The 19,902-nt window shown below is 39.5% G+C and overlaps 1 protein-coding gene across 3 annotated transcripts in view, besides 1 other annotated feature; it reads left to right on the top strand.

Annotated features, from left to right (window-relative positions):
- Positions 1 to 19,902, top strand: part of CSMD1 (CUB and Sushi multiple domains 1) — a 2,059,554-nt gene that overhangs the window by 398,556 nt on the left and 1,641,096 nt on the right. The window lies entirely within an intron of this gene.
- Positions 13,489 to 13,990: an enhancer, noted in NCBI's record as "H3K4me1 hESC enhancer chr8:4439891-4440392 (GRCh37/hg19 assembly coordinates)". NCBI's record gives its function as "activates a minimal SCP1, AML or CMV promoter by ChIP-STARR-seq in primed H9 embryonic stem cells {active_cell/tissue: H9 hESC(primed)}" and the evidence as "EXISTENCE:reporter gene assay evidence [ECO:0000049][PMID:30033119]".

Genomic DNA, 19,902 nt, shown 5'->3' with positions numbered 1-19,902 from the left:
GAGACCCTTAGAGAGGAGGTTTCGTTTTTGAACCTTCTCTAAATCTAATCTTGAAGCTTGGGTTAAGCATCTCTCCCTTGTGCTTCCCGCTTTTACTTAACAATAGTTAATATACTGTCCTATGATTTTTTTTAACCTATCAAGTTCTCCTACCAAAACCAAACTTACTTGATGTCAGTGGGTATATATTATTCCAGACTTATGTATTCCTGAAGCAAGTTTTTTAGATACTGGAACTACATTCATTATTACAATTGCAGTAACACACAGGGAAGTTGGCCCTTGAGAGAAAGGAGCAAGGTTGGGCCATGCTGTGGGCAGTGTGGCAAACAGGGAGTGTTCAAGTGGTGGATCTGGTTATGGGGAGATGTGGGATCTCTGGATTTGAGGCTGTACAAGTGGTACAGTTCATATAGTTTAGTAAGAGCAAGATTTACAGTCAGGCCTTAAGAGTGGATGGCTGCATGCAAGATCATTCCATGCAAAGAAGGAATGGAAGATCCATGTAGACGTGTCAGTGTCCAGGAAGGAAAACAGGAGCTCTGAAAGAGAGAAAAAGGTGCTGAAATGTTCTGTGATGGAGAAATGAGATAAGAATGGCATTTGTTTTGCTTTGTTTTTTAGAAACAAAGTCTACCTATGTTGCCTAGGCTGGCCTCCAACTCCTGAGTTCAAGGGATCCTCCAGCCTCAGCCTCCCCAGTAGCTGGGACTACAGACATGCATCGCAGTACCCAGCTTCACTGGTTATACTTAAGTAAGGAAAGGGACATTGTTTAGGAAGCAACACTGAGAATGTATGGTTTCTGTGCCACCAGAGCTAGTCTACAGTAGACATTAGCATGAAGCAAAAACAATTGCCACCATTTGAGAGGACTCCAAAGGAAGCCACAGAACCAGAACAGTCTTACCAGGCCTTTCCATTGTTGTTAGCATATTGACAATGTATAGCATTATTTGGATGGATGGAATGAAAATGAATGCATCAATAGACAAATGAATAAACAGATAAATTGTTGAATCGACATGATTATCCTTTGCCTTAGAAATCACCCTTTATCTACTCTTTCCTTTTTATTTATCATATTATACCTTCCTGTCTCAGAATTACAGAGTTATAGCCAACTCAAGCCAATTTGAGTTCTGTTCCTACGTGTCTACATTTTAGGATGTTTCTGCAATTAATTAGTAACACTCTTTCACTGTGAAAAACTAAATGAGGATGCTCAGAATTCCAAATTCCCCAAGCTTTTAAAATTCCATCCCTATTAAAGTTATAAAAAAAGGCACACCTATGTTTACACCTCTAAGGTTTGTTAGTGACATACAACAAGGAATCCAGTATATTCCAGATCCCAAAATTTATTAGTTTTATCTCATTTCTTTGGCATCAAGTATGAAAAACATTCAACTACTGAATTATAATATGTAGTCTCAATATTTAAACCACTATAACCATCCACATTCCTTTTACAGAGTCATTTCTCTTCAGCATGATGAAGATTTACTAAGGAATTGTGTCCTAGACACTTATCTATTAAGGTGGGGGTAACATCAGAAATATGATGATATGTCTGCCCTAAAATAGCTTAGAGCCTGGGGAGGAAAGATAGCCATGTGAACAGGCAGGTAACAATTTCAAATGTTAAATGGAAAGGTTTTAGTTTTGATTACAAAGGCAACACATGGGCAGCAGAGTAAAATGTAGGTTTTGAAGTTGAAAGACCAGGTTCAAATACATATTTGCTTCTTGTTTCCTGTTATGGGTTAAGTTGTGCCCCCCTCCAAAAAAACGCACACATCAAATTCCTAAATCCCAATAACTCAGAATGTGACCTTATTTAGAAACAGATCATTTCAGGGTGGGTGTGGTGGCTCACACTTTTAAGCCCAGCACTTTGGGAGGCTGAGATGCGTGGATTACTTGAGTTCAGGAGTTTGAGACCAGCCTGGCCAACATGGTGAAATCCTGTCTCTACTAATAATACAAAAATTAGCCAGGCATGCTGGCGCCTGTATTCCCAGCTACTCAAGAGGCTAAGACAGGAGAATCGCTTTAACCCAGGAGTCAGAGGTTGCAGTGAGCTGAGATCACGCCACTGCACTCCAGCCTGGGTAACAGAGCAAGACCCCGTCTCAGAGAAAAAAAAAAAAAAAAAAAAAAGATCACTTTAGAATTAATCAAGTTAAAATGAGGTAATTGGAGTGGGTCCTAATTCAACATGACCAGTGTCCTTATAAAAAGGGGAAACTTGACACATAGACAGAGAGGCACATGAGGAAGAGGCCATGTAAAGATGGAGGAGACTGATGATTCTTCCAGCCAAGGAGCACCAGAGATTCCCAACAACCTCCAGAAGGTGTGGAGAGACAAGAAGGGTCCTCCACAGGCAGGGTTTGGAGGGAACGTGATCCTCCTGACATTTTGATTTCAGACTCCTGGCCCTCAAAACTGTGAGACAATAAATTCCTGTTGCTTTAAGCTGGTCTGTTTGTGGTATTTTGTTACAGGCAATCTTAGCAAACTGCTCCATTCTCTAGAAGCTTTTTGATAAAGTTCTTTAACTTTATTAAGCATGCTAACCTTTTTTGCAAAATGGAAATGATGTTGCATATAGCTAGGAATTGTTGGAAAAATTAAGAGATCTGGTATACAATTGGTGCTTATTACATGGAAGTAGTAACTAATAATTTTAAACTAAGGTCTTTTCAGAGCTTTAAGACTCCGGATCACAAAAATCATAAAAATATTTCTGTCATTTGTTATTTTCTACTTTCATTATGAAGTGTGATTATATATAAATATTAAGTGCTACAAATAGTCACTTTATGGGCTATTTATAATTGAAAAATAATCCAAGACTCTAAAAGCGTTCTCTTTTATGTTTCACTTTCACTAAATGGCCATTCTCCTGTGCTTAAGGGTATTTCAGTTGGAATGAAACATTATGCCAAAAATACATAATTAGCACTAAAATTATTATGCTTAATTTTTTATCATGACAATAACAAGGATTTAGCCATGCTGCAGAAGTATTTAATTAATTTGCTATGTATGCGTAAAGAGGAGAGGGAACAAATGGGGAAATCATATTAACGCTCATGTTCCTGCGGAAATTCCATTAACCTTGCTTTTCAGCAGCAGCAAAAGGCAGATTCTGTAGGGCCCATTTGTATGCACTTCAGTGACTGCCTGGTCCTCTCAATGCTGAGACCTCAGCATCCTCCATTCACCCTAAGAAAGGAATGAGACCAAGAAATGGCCCGGATGCATTATGCAAGATATCGCAGGATGAGATGACACCAGTGATTTACAAACCCCTCCAGCATGTAGACCAATAAGAAATTTTCTAAATAGTTTTATGAATTTCACAGGAAAGCCTGAGAAAACACATATAGAAAGAAAACTACAGCAAACCTCACATATAAATAAATGCTGATTCGAAACTTCTAAATAAATATTAACATAGAATTTGGGAGCAAATGAAAAAATCAATAAATATGGAAATTCATTTCAATAGTATTACAATGATTAAACAACAGGATATTTCGTGTATTGGTAGATTTTAGAAAACAATATTTTAACTAAGTATAAATATTAAAATTCGTAGATAAAAATTTAGCACACATTTTGGATTGAGCTTTATAAATGTCATCAAAAATAAGGAAAAGAGGCCGGGTACAGTGGCTCACGCTGGTAATCCTAGCACTTTGGGAGGCCAAGACAGGCGGATCACTTGGGATCAGGAGTTTGAGACCAGCCTGGCCAACATGGTGAAACTCTGTCTCTACTAAAAATACAAAAATTAGCTGGGCGTGGTGGCCGGCCCCTGTAGTTCTAGCTACTCAGGAAGCTGAGGCAGGAGAATCGCTTAAACCTGGCAGGTGGAGGTTGCAGTGAGTCAAGGTCATGCCACTGCACTCCAGCCTGGGAGATGGAGTAAGACTCCACCTCAAAAACAACAAAGCGATAACAAGGAAAATGAATACGGAAGAGTATATTTTTTAAAATATTTGTGACAATTTAATGGAATAATTTAAAAGCATTCCAATTACCACTGTAAATATACCACTTTCACTATTCTGTAATACCCTCCTGGACACTTTAGTTACTGCAACTAGATAAGATAATAAGAGGCACAATTAAAGGAAGATTCTTGTTGGGAGCATGAAATCTACCCTGAGAGTATTATTTATGCCACAGAAATTGGCAAATGTTATAAATCAGGAATCCGTTATGCCAGCAAAGCCGCTCGTTAAACATCTACCAGCATGTCCCTACTGTTAGACGTCCCTCCGGTACCTCAGATGCAATGGTCCATAAGAAATTCACTGGTCCCATCCTGGCCGCATTGCATGACCTGCAGCCTGTTTTGCCTTTGCCAATATCTCCATCTATCTAGGCGTTTGCACTAGCAGCTGCCTTTCCTCCGATCTCCTGAAGTCCCTCAGAATGTCTGCCCAACTTTCAGCCTCCCCACCGGTCCCTTGGTCATTACTTTCTCCCCTCTGCCTTGTTCCAGAGGCCCCCTAGACGGTCTTTCTGTAGCCACTGCCTCATTGCTGAGTACATTCCCCTCAATACGCTAAGTATTTCCAAAACAGATCCTATCCCCTCACTTCACTGCTTTAAAACCTTCTCTGCAATTTTCATTGCATATTTATATTAAAATTCAGGCCTGTTCCAATCTGACACTGACCTACATACTTATGCCCTCTCCTGCTGACAGTTGAAGGCCCAGTTCCGCCATCACTACCCTTGGAAAGCTGCTTGCATCTGCTCCCAAGAGAGAAGCCTGCACTACAGTCCTCTCTGTGTCCTTCACTCTGTAATCACGCTATACCACAGTGACTTCCCTGGACCTACCATGCAGGTTTACAGCTCGATAGCTCTGCTCATTTGCTTTTGCTCAACAGCTTTGCTCATTTCTGTTTGGAATGCTTTTCTTTCATCCCTTCTCCACCTGGAATAGTTGTATTCATATATCCAAGGTGGCCCAACTAGTTTGTCTGTGAATTTTGTCTGACCTAGACCAGAAAGAATTACTCACTTCTTCCTCTGGGTCTTTGTTCGACTTCGTACTTCACATTTGGCTCTTCCTCCTGGTGTTTGTGAGTTCTTCATATTAGAGATCATTGCTTATTTCATCTTCATCTTTACTCAGCCAATACCTAATAATATGTTGTAAACAGTAAGCACTCAACACACAACTGAAGAAATGATGCATTCAGAACTCAATACTTTTGATGGCATAGCTTACAACCTTAGAGAATAGCAGATCCTGGGAATTTCTGTTGGAGACAAGAACACAGGCTTCAGAGAAACATGCAATTGATTGACAGCAGGGAAGAAGGCAGGCCACAGGTGAGATATGAAGACTAAAATAAGACAGCAACCAGGTGTGTTTTAATCACCAACTCAGCAGAGCTCAGAAGGCCTGAGAGCATTGTTGTATCACAGAAATGTGTACGATGAGTTCTGCCAAGTAAAGATTAGTCATTATGAGAAGCTCAAATTATGTCCCATATCCTTTTATTAAGAAATGTTTAAAAATTATTTTAGGAAAAAAATTTCCAAAATCTTAGTTACTAGTGTCCTCAGATAAGCAAAAGAAAACCAAAAGCATAAAAGCAACAAACAACAAAAAATCTATCTATTCAGTGCTTCTCATTTTCTTAAGATTTCATCGTGAATATAGCTTTATAATGTTGTAAAAGTCAACAACTTTGAACAACATATATTAACAGTATACATTTTTATTTTAAATAGTATATTTCTAATTTATATTTTTATTTTTAAAAGCATATAGGGAGAGGTGTCATAATTCCAGGTATTATGCTAGCGCTTCAAATATATGAAATAAAGCTATAAATTTTATTTACATTCTACATACCAGAACAATCTTAATGAGTACTTTTGAACAGCTAGGGATGAATAACATAAAATTAATAAGCCCAAAGTCCTTTCAGTATCTTCGCATGTTGATTGAGCATGTATGTTTTAGAATTTAATGTATTCTGGATGTGACTTTTGTTTTCATGGAAATCCAGTAGTCCATGTCTGCTTCCCAGAACTTTTCTGTCCCCATGGTCACCATCTCTCCACTTTCAAGTATGACGCTAGACACTACTCTTGTAACACATACCACAGATGAGTTATCCTGGTCTCATCTAAAAGAAAAAAAAAACAGCATAAAGAATTCTGAGCAAAATTCACTTGCTTTACCAAATAAAATTGCATGTTATTCTAAATAAACCTATATAACTTTGAAGATTTCATAAATACATGTTACCACCACAAAATAAATAAATGTAATATTGTTAAAAAGCATAGACAAGCATTTGGAGCCATTTTGACTTTTAGAACAGACAGTATCTTAAGCACTTGCTTAGCCTAGTAACCTAGGAACTTCCAGGTCCAGTGTGTGGGTTAGACAAAAGCCACATATTCTATGGTGTCAGAAGGCAGGTCTCAGTGGCATCAGGCTCCTGATAGATTCTGAAAATTATTAATACGCTGCATTCCAGAAACTGCCAAAGTATTCTTGATACTCTTTGACATGGCAAAGATATATATTTTTTCCCAAGTTGGCAACTAATTATTTTTATCATTTTTTTGGCCGTGATAATGGCAATTTAGAAATCATGTGTTTCTAATTGTACCATTCAACAATTGCGGAGGTTATTTTTGCTTGGTCTTCACAGTGCAAACACACTTGCCTAATAGTATTGTAGAATGAACACTTTTTGAGTAATGAGTTAGCAATTAATAATGCAAGCAAGTCCCATATTATAGAGTCGACATTAACATATTATGCACTTCCTAACCTGGGGAATGAGTGCTGATTTGTTTTTCACTGTTGTCTCGCAGGCACTGATCAGCAGAGAGTTTGTCTTACTTAACTTAACCCTTTAATTCTTAGTATTGGTAAAAAAGAAATAGTCTATTCCTTACTATCATTGGTTTTTGGTTCAGAGTCCCTGAGAAGAGTGAGATATTATGGTTAATACTTTGAATTAGGCAGAAAAAACATGGCTAAAGATCACTGAGGCATCATTCTTATTGGCATAATATATGCAGAGGCAAAACACAAATTTAGAAATAAAAATTAGATTTATTTTCCAATATAGAAAAATGTAGTTCTTTTACATAACTCTGATAAGGCTCTATCCAATTCCCTTTTTTGCACTTTTCTTTCTTTTCTCATTGAGAGCAATGAAAATTCTAGTTTCTCTTTTTGAAACATTTACAAATTAAAGATAGTCTAAGGACAACATATTTTTTATTTTTCTATTTTTACACTATTACACATTATATAATGTGCATGTAGTACACGTTGTATAATGTATACATAACGTGTTTATATAATGTATATTATATATAGTATATTGTACTTGGCTCTACTATACTTAAAGGCAATGTATATGTGTATGTATATTTTTTCCAAGTGAAAGGGCACCCTGGAGTGTTTTTAATGCCACATCACATTCGCGTCAGTGGAAGCTTGAGCAGCAGCCTGTGAACAGAATCAAGCACAGAGTAGAGTTTCTTTTGTGTGTGTGTGTGTGTGTGTGTGTGTCGGAGTCTTGCTCTGTCGCCAGGCTGGAGTGCAGTGGTGCAATCTCGGCTTACTGCAACCTCTGCCTCCCGGGTTCAAGCGATTCTTGTGCCTCAGCCTCTTGAGTAGCTGGGACTAAAGGCGCCCGCCACCACGCCCGGCTAATTTTTGTGTTTTTAGTAGGGATGGGGTTTCACCGTGTTAACCAGGATGGTCTCGATCTGCTGATCCGCCAGACTCGGCCTCCGAAAGGGCTGGGATTACAGGCATGTGCCACCATGCCCGGCCAGAGTAGAGTTTCTTAAACAGGAAAGAAAACATCAGACCACTGTTTCAAATACAGTGCAGAGAGGACAGACTGGCTGTACTATCTAGAGGAAGAGATAGTTCTTTATCTCTGTCTTTATGAGATAGTTCTTTATCTCTGTCTCTAGATAGCATAGCCAGTGTGTGCTCTCTATACTGTATTTGAAACTGTGGTCTGATGTTTTATTTCCTTTTTCTTTTTGGCTAGTATCAGCATTTAATGGAATCCTAAAAGTTACTGTCTTCTGACGGCCATTGAGTTGTAATCAACACCAGCAATATATTTCTTCTCTATTTAAATATATGCCTAAGAAAATGTTTGATATCATTTTACTAGCCATTTAAAATAAGCCCGTCTTTGAAAAATTATTATCCACTCTAGCTAGAGGGAAGCCAGAGGCATTTTAGAATACTGAACATGTATTAGATTTTGCTTTACCTTGCTCCTTTTGTTAGTTTTCTTTTTCCTATGCTTGCTTAAATGGTGCTGCATTCACGATTCAGGAAAGTAGCTAGTTGATGTTGCTGGGTATACTTTAAAGTCTACACACAATCTCCTTCTATCACTGGAAGTGAGTTTAAAAGTATTCACACTTCAGTTTTTAAAGGGACAACAGTTTTTACATTTCAATAAATTTCATAATTTTTTATAGTTACAGAGTTGTGGAAAGGCAAAATGTTTTAACAAAATGGTACCCACAAGTTCATAATGTGAAAAGTGCTTGTGTTAGCATCTACTATAAATGCAAAGTCTTAATGTTTACTTTATGAAGAGTGTCATAAGTGGAGAAAATCTCTTAACCAGTACCTAGTGAAGGCATAGTTCATAAGACATAGTTCTCTTCAGTAAATGAGATCGTGATCATGAGTCTGAGTACAATTATTTGTAAGTAAAGCTTATTTCTTCTTTTACACATCTAGGAAAGGTTCTGTATCAAAATAAATTTCCTTAGGTGTTAGACACTTGGACAAGGAGAAATTCATGTGTGCATATATATATACATATATGTACATATACATATGTATCTACATATACATATATATGTACATATACATATATATCCACATATACATGTACATATACATATATATCCACATATACATGTATGTACATATACATATATATCAAGAACTTGATGCTTTGAAAAGCTCACAGTTTTACAGTTGTGTAATTATTTTTGCAGAGAAAGTGAGTAAAAGAACATTAAGCTCTTCAAACTATGCATCAGTTCCCAGTACTCATTTCAGTGTAAAACAACAGACAAGTGGAGAAAACTCATTTTTTACTGAAGGAATTACATACCCTTCAAGTAAGCCATAAAAGCTGGTTGGCTCACGATGGGCAGAAAAATCAATGTGGAAGAAGAGAGCGCACCTAATCTATTGGCCTCTGTAGGATATTGTCATATATAATAGTAAAAGCAATGTTTCATGGATTAAAAGAGATGAAAGCATTCATTCAAAATTAACTAAACTTATTTTTAATGGGTATCTCTATTATAACTTTTTAGGCGCTCTTATATAGATGTAACCTCTCTTACACAGTACAGATTCATGCATGCAAGTTCTCATTTATTTATTCATCAAACAAAGTTAAGCACTCTTATCAAATACTATGCCAGATACTGGATAGAAAAAGTTGAACACCTGCCATGATCCTACTGTGCGTGCAGACCTGTGTGCAGAACAGCTGCAGCCCAGTATCATCCTGGAGGAGCACAGAAAGTGCCATGGGGAACCGCACAGCTATTCATGGAGGATCTCTCTCACAGGCATGATGCTTTAAGGAATATGGTGTGGCGGTATTTCATATACATGTGAATAAAACAAAAAGGGATTTTAGTGCTGTGTTTTTATGATATAAATTACTGAGAGGGAACAGTGTTTATCCAAAAGTCCTAGAGAAAATAAAGCATCAAAAAAAATGCTAAAAAGGTTACGTCCATAAAAACATTGATTTTTCCTGGAAAATTGCCAAGCTGTGGCTCATCCAGAAGGAACTAGGTGTGATTTTTATCATTAAACCAGTAAATATCACAGTTATGAATTTGAAACATGAGCTTAACAGGTTAAGTCTGTAACAGGTTTGGTCTGTGACTTTAACAGTTTATGTAACCTTTAAAATCAACACTCTGTGAGAGAAATCTATCTCTACACAAGCAATTAGTCACTGCCAATGGGAATTGCCTGGGGAAAAATTGGGAATGGCTGATGGGTACTAAAATACAGTCAGAATGAATAAGAACTAGTACTTGGAAGTGTAATAGGGTCACCATAGTTAACAATAATTTATTATGTATTTAAAAATAACCAAAAGAGTGGAATTGGCATGTTTTTAAACACAAAGAAATGGCAAATGCTTGAGGAGATGGATAGCCAATTACCCTGATCTCATCATTACACGTTGTATGCTTGTGTGAAAATATCATGTGTACTCCATGTATACGTACAACCATTACATGCGCATAATAATGAAAAAGGTAATGATGAAAATAGTCATTAAAAGTTTGAATTAATTTTCAAATTATTTTGCTAATATATTAAATCCCACAAATCAATAATTTTATTGTTACATATAATTTTCCCATCAGCTTACATTTTGTATTGCTGTTTATTCCATCTTTACCTGCATGCTTTCATCTAATATAATTTTTATTCGACCTGAAAAGGACTAAAGAGTATTTACTCAGATTTAATTTAACTTAAAATGTCTTCAATTTCTATAGGATAGTTTCACTTTGTATAGAGCTCTATGTTGGTCATCATTTTATTATAGCACTTTAAAGACAGCATTCATTACCTCTGGCTTTAATTTTTTTCCATTGCAAAATCTTCTGTAACTTTTATTGTTGCTTCTTTGCCAGTCCTTTTTCTATGATTAAAATTTTTCTCTTTGTAATTTGGTTTCTTTCATCTGAATTCTACCTTTTCACTTCTGCTCAAAGTCTCTAATCAGTTACAGTAAATTATCTGTCATTATCTCTTCAAATACTTCTTTCATTCCATTGTTTCTTTTTTCTCCTTATGAGGAAATGTTATTTATTATTTTGCCCATATTCCACGTTTTGTGACAGTCATTCTTCATTTACTATTAGTTTCGTTATCCCTCTTTCAAAAATTGTGTATTAACCTTTTTTCTAGTTCTCTAATCCTCTTTTCAACTTTGCCTAATCTGCTATTAATTAGCTTAATTTTTAATTTCTGGGACTGCCTATTTCAACTGCAGAATTTCCATGTGACTCCAGTCTTTGTAGATGGCAGTTCTCTGCTGATGTTCTTTATGGTGCTCTTTATTTCTTTGAACATATTAATCACAGTTATTTTAAAGGCAACTTCTGCTAACTTTAATATCTACACTTCCTGTTAGTCTCTTTCTATTGTACTTTTTTTTTTTTTCTCAGTTTTTGATCACTTGGTCTTTTCTCCTGGTATGCTGGGTAATTTTTTTAAAATATAGAATCTTTTGTATGAAAAATTGTACAAATAATTTGAGAGTCTGGTTGAGGTTTGATTTCCCCAGAGACCATTTATTTTGTTTCTGGCAGGCAGTTAGACTGGGGCTGATCTCCTTAATCCAGTCTAAATTTGAGCTGCTTAATCCAATCCAATGCAATCCACAGTTGATCCAATCTAAATAAAAGCTGGTTTTCTTATAGGAGAAACTAGAAAAGCACCAGAGACAGGTAGCAATTTTTAGAAGCGGGCCTAACCTCAGAGAGGAGAGGTGAGAGGAAGTTTGTCTGGCCGGCATTAGGACCCAGAGGGCAAGGGTCAGGATAGATAGGATAGATGGGCAAGTCTGGCTTGGGCGACATGCTTTTGAGAGTTCCGGTCATGGCCACAGGGTCAACCAACATGTTGTTGGGACCCCGGAGCTGCATGGCTTTCCTCTCTGTAGACCCTCGGCTCAGCCCAGAAGTACAGGAAAAGCGGAAGCTGGTTCTAGGCAAACCAACGGTCCCAACTCCGAAGAGTTGGGGGTTGTTAGAGAGCCCTTTCCCAGAAAGCCTGACACCCGTTTCTTTAGTCCGGCGGCCACGCTAGTCGCTTTTAACTGGCCGACAGGTGCCCGGTATTTAGCCCCCGAATTCTAATGAAAAATAGGACAGAATAGCAAGCGAAAGGGGTCTGATGCTACTCACTGCTTGGCGATTGGCGATTGTCTCACTACTCGGCGATAGGCGACGGTCTCACCACTCGGCGATTGTCTCACTGCTTGGCGATAGGTGAAAGTCCCTTCGTGGTCGCCAAAATGTGTCCGGAATTGGTGGGTTCTTGGTCTCACTAGCTTCAAGAATGATGCCACGGACCGTCGCAGTGAGTGTTACAGTTCTTAAGGTGGCGCGTCTGGAGTTTGTTCCTTCTGACGTTCGGATGTGTTCAGAGTTTCTTCCTTCTAGTGGGTTCGTGGTCTTGCTGGCTCAGGAGTGAAACTGCAGACCTTCGTAGTGAGTGTTATAGCTCTTAAGGCGGCGCATCTGGAGTTGTTCGTTCCTCCCCTCCCGGTGGGCTTGTGGTCTCGTTGGCTTCAGGAGTGAAGCTGCAGACTTTGGCGGTGAGTGTTACAGCTCATAAAAGCAGTGTGGACCCAAAGAGTGAGCAGCAGCAAGATTTATTGCAAAGAGTGAAAGAACAAAGCTTCCACAGTGTGGAAGGGGACACGAGTGGGTTGCCACTGCTGGCTGGGGCAGCCTGCTTTTATTCTCTTATCTGGCCCCACCCACATCCTGCTGATTGATAGAGCCCAGTGGTCTGTTTTGACAGGGTGCTGACTGGTGTGTTTACAATGCCTGAGCTAGATACAAAGGTTCTCCACGACCCCATCAGATTAGTTAGATACAGAGTGTGGACACAAAGGTTCTCCAAGGCCCCACCAGAGCAGCTAGATACAGTGTCCATTGGTGCACTCACAAACCTTGAGGTAAATACAGGGTGCTGATTGGTGTGTTTACAAACCTTGAGCAAGATACAGAGTGTCGATTGGTGTATTTACAATCCCTGAGCTAGACATAAAGGTTCTCCAAGGCCCCATCAGAGCAGCTAGATACAGAGTGTCGATTGGTGCACTCACAAACCCTGAGCTAGACACAGGGTGCTGATTGGTGTGTTTACAAACCTTGAGCTAGATACAGAATGCCGATTGGTGTATTTACAATCCCTGAGGAAGACACATAAAGGTTCTCCAAGGCCCCACCAGACTCAGGAGCGCAGCTGGCTTCACTCGGTGGGTCCCGCACCACGGCTGCAGGTGGAGCTGCCTGCCAGTCCCTGTGCCGTGTGCCCGCATTCCTCAGCCCTTGGGTGGTGGATGGGACTGGGTGCCGTGGAGCAGAGGATGGTGCTCGTTGGGGAGGCTTGGGCCGCACAGGAGCCCATGGAGTGGGTGGGAGGCTCAGGCACGGCGGGCTGCAGGTCCTGAGCCCTGCCCCGCGGGAAGGCAGCTAACGCCGGGTGAGAAGTCGAGCACAGCGCCGGTGGGCTGGCACTGCTGGGGGATTCAGTACACCGTCCGCAGCCACTGGCCCGGGTGCTATGTCCCTCATTGCTCAGGGCCGGCAGGGCCGGCCAGCTGCTCCGAGTGTGGGGCCAGCCAAGCCCACGCCCACCCGGAACTCCAGCTGGCCCGCAAGTGCCTCGCACAGCCCTGGTTCCCACTCGCGCCTCTCCCTCCACACCTCCCCGCAAGCTGAGGGAGTGGGCTCCGGCCTTGGCCAACTCAGAAAAGGGCTCCCACAGTGCAGCGGTGGGCCAAAGGGCTCCTCAAGTGCCACCAAAGTGGGAGCCCAGGCAGAGGAGGCGCCGAGAGCGAGCGAGGGCTGGGAGGACTGCCAGCCTGCTGTCACCTCTCACTATGAGGGCTGGTGCATTTCCAGGTGCATCCTTGCTAATGTGTAGCCCTTCAGTGACCTTCAGCTGTGGGCTTTGGAGCTTGCTAGAGACTGTCTTCCTTCCTGATCTCTCACTCCTGTGAGACTACAGGACTTAGTTTCTCCATTTCCTGCCTGGTGCCTGGAGGAAAGAGTGGATCTGTATTGGGCTCACCACTCTGTGTTTTCTTTCTCTCCGTTATTCTGGCTCCTCAAGTTGTTGCAGCCCTGATAATCTCTCCTTTGTCCTCAAAACAATTATGTTTATCTTGTAATATATTTTATCCCGCTTTTCTAATTTGGCTCTGCAGGAGACTTGGTCTGATAACAAGCTGTTTTATCTTAGCCGGAAGATCATGTCCGGGACCATTTTTTAGGTCAGCCCTTTATTATTATTGACAGTAATTCTAAGTGCTTAGTGGGTGTCAGATATATGACAAACCTCATGTCTGTCAATTTTCACTACAGACATGCCAGGGAAGGATTATTCCTCATGTGCTACTCACAAAGCTCATCAGTTCAGATAATAAAAACAAAACAAACCAAAAAAAAAAAAGAGGCTCGGAACGCAGTGTCCCATGACTGCTTCTCTCTCTGCGATGCTGTTTCATTTCATCATCGTAGGCTACTGAGATTTTAGCCATCGTCGTTTGTCTTCCATCAAATGCTTCCTTAGCCCCAACTCTTTCTTTGACCTGACTGTACTGTGAGACTCAAGTTGATGGTGGATGTAGGGGACAATTCACAGCAGATCTGGAGGAGGTAGAAGAGTCCAGAGATTTGGGTCAGTGCTTTGTGCCCTCCCAGGCTTCCTGACTCATTTGCTCAGAGCCTAGCAATAGCCAATAGGCAATTGTCTGCCAAGATGGTCTTGTTGGTCTGAGGTGAGGGCCCTCTGGGAATTCTCTGGAAGCTGTTAAAACCGACCTGCTTATGTGACCCCAACTGGGAGCATAGACAGATTCAAATGAACTCCCCTTTCCACTAACTTTCTTTTAACACTGAGGAATCAATTCCTAAATATAGTCTCTTCTAAAATGTGTCTTAATGATATATTGAGTATTTTTTACAATGCTGGCTAAAATGAATCTGTTATGTATTTAAAATAATGCATGCTTCTCAAACCCTTTTTCTACATAAGATTATCTCATATTCAAAAACAGTTTTCAAAATAGAAAACAACTGCTTGCTAGATCTGCCAAGCTCAAAAAGATAAAAATTGGAGTCATATCTTAAACATATAAGTTAAAAATGTACAGTATATCGAGAGGTAGTAAGATTTAATTAAAGTAGTATATATTCAACTTAAAATAATTCATTACTTCCTCTGCATGTGTCTTGTTCTTTTTTCTTCATGAAATAAACATTTTGAAATGCCCAATTATTATTAATTTTATATGAAACATTCTTTTCATTGCCAAATTAGTTTTATCAACAAGTCAACTAAATTCTAAAATAGAAATTTGTGTTCATAGATGGTATCCTTGACTAAAGATTCTTTCTACCGTTCATTTTCAGTTAATATTATTTGAATGTTTACCTTAAAATGTAGTCATGTAAACTAGTTTCATATGCAGTCTTTGCTCCATGGATTGATTTACCTAGCCATGACCACATGTCTGTTACATGTGAGGCACTGGAATAAGGACTGAGGTGGACAATCGTTGTCTATCTTTTCACCTAAAAGTGATGTAAAAATGTGCATTGAACTTCCGATGATGTCAAACACAATAGCAGGGAAAAATGCAATAAATTATTTGCATTCCGTGAATTTACAATCCAGTATGAAGCGGGCAGTATGTACAAGATACAACTTTTTAAGATAGGATATAATTAACACTATCATAAGGAAATAAAATGTTAGGAGAACCTCAAAGGGAGAGAGATTGATTTGGGGTGATTTAATCAGGAAGGGCTTCCTGGTGTTGTCGCATTTACCTTGGAAGACGCGGTGCATTTTGCTCAGCCAGGGTAGAAGAGAATGTCTTATGTGATGCCACGAAGAAGAAGGAGGGGAGAGAGCAGTTATGGGTGAGATGGAAGAGGAGAAAGGAGGAGCCTCATGAGACGCCCGACATGGGGAACAACTCAAGCTGGGAACCCGACGGCCCGAGCCAGAACCTCATGATATTAGGAAATTTCCATAACTTCGCTATGCCTCAATTTTCTCACCTGTAAAGTGGATGCAATAGTTTTTTTTATGCTTTTAATATCATTATTTGTGTTACACGATACACAACAAAGGAAGATGGTCAACACTGCGATGAAAATGTTAAAAAGATATATGATACAGGGCTCATGTCTTTCATGTACCTTCCTGGAAATAAATTAATGAGCATGGAGACACCTGGCTGGGTGATGACCACAGCCGAGAGCAGAGGGCGTGTTAAGGCAGTACCCACAAGGGGAAGGGCAGCAGGGGGCAAGCTCAGGCTAGATTCCATGAAGTTTACATAACAGTTGAAAGCAGTGCCTGGTACAGTCAGGGCCACATAGGTGTTTAATACATTTTAAAGACAAAATATTTAGTCCTCCCACCCTCTTTAAATATAGAAACAAAAGCAGAGAAACACACTCATGTAGGTTGGTCACAGTTACTACTATAAAGATGTGACAGTTCACATGGAAATGGTAGTATTTAAGAAAATAAAAAGCAAGTAGGGATTTGGAAATGTAAACATAAAATACAGGAAATCGAGCTATGCATCTGGAGTTAAAGACTTAATTATACCCTTATAAGACTTAGGAAAACTAGGTAAAGTTTTACACTTGGGAAATGTTTATCTGAGAATTGAATCCTAGAATTTAACAGAAACATGGAACACAAGTAAGCCAATAATGGAAATAAAATTGGAAATTCACCTGTAAAAATTCACCATGTAAATTTACATGGAAATTCACCATGTAAAAAACATGGAGTTTCCAGAATATTTTGCTTCAGAAGTATCCTTAAAATATAGGTTTAAGGCCGGGCATGATGGCTCACACCTGTAATATCAGAACTTTGGGAGGCCAAGGTTGGTGGATCATGAGGTGAGGATCTCGAGACCAGCCTGGCTAACATGCTGAGACCCCATCTCTACTAAAAATACAAAAAATTAGCTGGGCGTGGTGGCGGGTGCCTGTAATCCCAGCTACTTAAGAGGCTAAGGGAGGCAGGAGAATTACTTGAACCTGGGAGGCGGAGGTTGCACTGAGCTGAGATCACGCCATTGTACACCAGCCTGGAGGATGAGAGCAAAATTCTGTCAAACATACACAAACACACACACACACGTGTGTGTATATATATATGTATGTATGTATGTTTAAACTTCACCATTGGCAAGAGGATTTTTTATATATATACATATATATATGTATATATATGTATGTATGTTTAAACTTCGCCGTTGGCATGAGGATTATTTTCCTGATTCCGTCAGAGCAACCACACCTGACTTTTTAAATTCTTAGTGTGTACATATTCCTCACAGGCCACTTTTTCATTCTGCAATTACTGCTCTTCCTGCATGTTTTATTGTCCTTACTCTTTATAAACTGTATAAATGGAACAGTTTATTGCAGAAAGATATCTTTTGCAGTGTCTAACATTGTGCCTTTATGTGATAAACATTTATGTACAATTTTCAATTTAATTAATGAAAAGATGCTGTTTAAAAAGGTTAATCATTTTAATTAAATGTATTGATTTAATATTTTTCCACATGGTGGTTTTCACATGGTGATTTCAAAATAATGATCTAGTAAAATGTGCCTTCTATAATGCCGCCATTTCTGCTTGTAAAGATAGGTTTGTTTTTTTTTTTTTTTTGAGGTGGAGTCTATCTCTGTCACCCAGGCTAGAGTGCAGTGGCACGATTTCAGCTCACTGCAACCTCCCCCTCCCAGGTTCAAGCAATTATCTTGCCTCAGCCTCTTGAGTAGCTGGAATTACAGGACCTGCCACCATGTCCAGCTAATTTTTGTATTTTTGGTAGAGATGGGGTTTCACCATGTTGGCCAGGCTGATCTTGAACTCCTGACCTCGTGAACCGCCCACCTTGGCCTCCCAAAATGCCGAGATTACAGGCATGAAGCATTGCACCCAGCCAAAGATAGGTTTTATAATAAAACAGGAAATTAATACTCTGAATATTTGTGGAAGGATTTATGTTTATTTAATTCACAGTGAAGAATATGATGTAGTCCCTTGCTGAGGTGGGCGAATCATGAGATCAGGAGATCGAGAACATCCTGGCTAACACGGTGAAACCCCGTCTGTCCTAAAAAAAAAAAAAAAAAAAAAAAAAAAATGAGCCGGGTGTCGTGGCAGGTGCCTGTAATCCCAGCTACTCTACTCGGGAGGCTGAGGCAGGAGAATGGCGTGAACCCGGGAGGCAGAGCTTGCAGTGAGCCGAGATCACGCCACTGCACTCCAGCGTGGGCAACAGAGCGAGACTTCCTCTCAAAAAAGAACAAAAAATGCTCTTTTATCAGCCTGTGGTAAGATGTGGGGGACTTTGAGTATAGATTAAAATTGCTAGAAGCAGCTCTGAGCTAACTCGGGTGCACTTGCACAGTCAACTTTTTACACACATTAATGAGTACACAGTCCTAAAGCCGAGCCCTGGGTCCACCAAATATGTGATCCCCGAAAGTCCAAAATTTACATAGAAACCAGACCCATGTCATTTTTCTCTGGCCATCCAATATCATAATTGCACTAAGGCTTGTTTCCTAGGACTTGATACATTTACTATATATTTAGTTATTAAATATATATTCACTTGAGGTCTGCTATGTGCCAGGGAAAATGCAAGGCCAAGGAATGTAGCTCTAAATCAGGTATCTTTTTTATTCTCAATGAGCTTTCAGTTAAGGACAGGCAGATAAAGTAATCAAACAGCATACCCATGAAAACACTGTGTTAGGGTGCAAGGGCACTTTGAAGGAGCAATTTGTCCTCTCTTAGCATTCAGGGGAAGCTTTCATAGAGAAACTGAAGTGTTGAGGTGTGAAGAGTAAGACTTACCTGGTGAAGAAGAGATACTGGATCCTGCCTGAGGGAAAAGCAATTTCACACCCGGAGGAAGGATGCCGTGGGCCACACTGGAGCCTGTGGATGGGCTGTGGATGGCAAGGTGGGTGCTGTGGTGGCATAGGGAAGAGGAAGGAGGGGAGCACGCTTGGAGCTGGGAGCCTGTTGGGTTCCTGAGAGCAGAGTGTCCAAGAACATTTCCCCGACTTGAGAGGATGGAAAGAAATGTGCCACAGGTTTAGAAGGTAATTCTGAAATAAGCTCTCCTAAATATTTTGGGGCATCATTATTGAAATAATTTTAGTCTCCCAAGAGAGCAGCTATGAAGTCAGCCCATCTGAGGAGCTTCACAGACTGCTAAGTGAATTTTTTTCCTTTCTTACATTCTATATTTGATTTTGATACATTCAAAAGAAAATCTCGCTTCAATAAATGTATTAAAAATCAGTGCAAAAAAAACCCAAGGAAACATTGCAGAAGATTAGCATAAATTATACACGTTATATATGTGTGTGTATATACAAATTATCATATAATCATTTTTGGCCTGTTCGTAATCAAAGCAATATTAAAGAAATAAAAATTCAAGATCTAATATCTGTCACCATGGAGATAGAATCACACTGTGTTCATCGAATTAGAAAACTTAGCTGAGAGCTTGGAGGATTTCTACATAAGTAAATCTAAATAATCATTCTATTAATTCCTGGAAAAATTATTTAATCATAACTGAAGTATGTGACTAAAGCATTTGTGGAAATGTACATGAAATTAAAATAGTTTGTTTTAAGTATTAATATTTAAATTATTTTTGGTAAATATCTTAATATCACTTGAATTAGCATACATATTGATATTAACATATATTTCTGAAAATTTAGTTAAGTTTTAGAAAGAGATTATCAGACTTCTAGCTACTTATGACTGAAGGCTATTATTTTACATTGTTTTCATGTATCCAAAAATATTTATTTAATAAATGCTATATATATACAGAGTAAGCTAGATACTGGATGGACAATAACCCAACGCCACACCCCACCCCCTGCCAACAAAAAAGGTGAGAGACAGTCCTTGCTATCTTGGTATAGTAGGAGAGAGTTACTTATTAGAAACTGTATGTGAAAAAATATATACCTTCCAGCCAAACG

Source organism: Homo sapiens, chromosome 8 (assembly GCF_000001405.40).
Source record: "Homo sapiens chromosome 8, GRCh38.p14 Primary Assembly".
In the NCBI taxonomy this organism is placed as follows: domain Eukaryota; kingdom Metazoa; phylum Chordata; class Mammalia; order Primates; family Hominidae; genus Homo; species Homo sapiens.
Note: the sequence above shows the minus strand (reverse complement) of the source record. Positions and strands in the feature narration are given on the sequence as shown.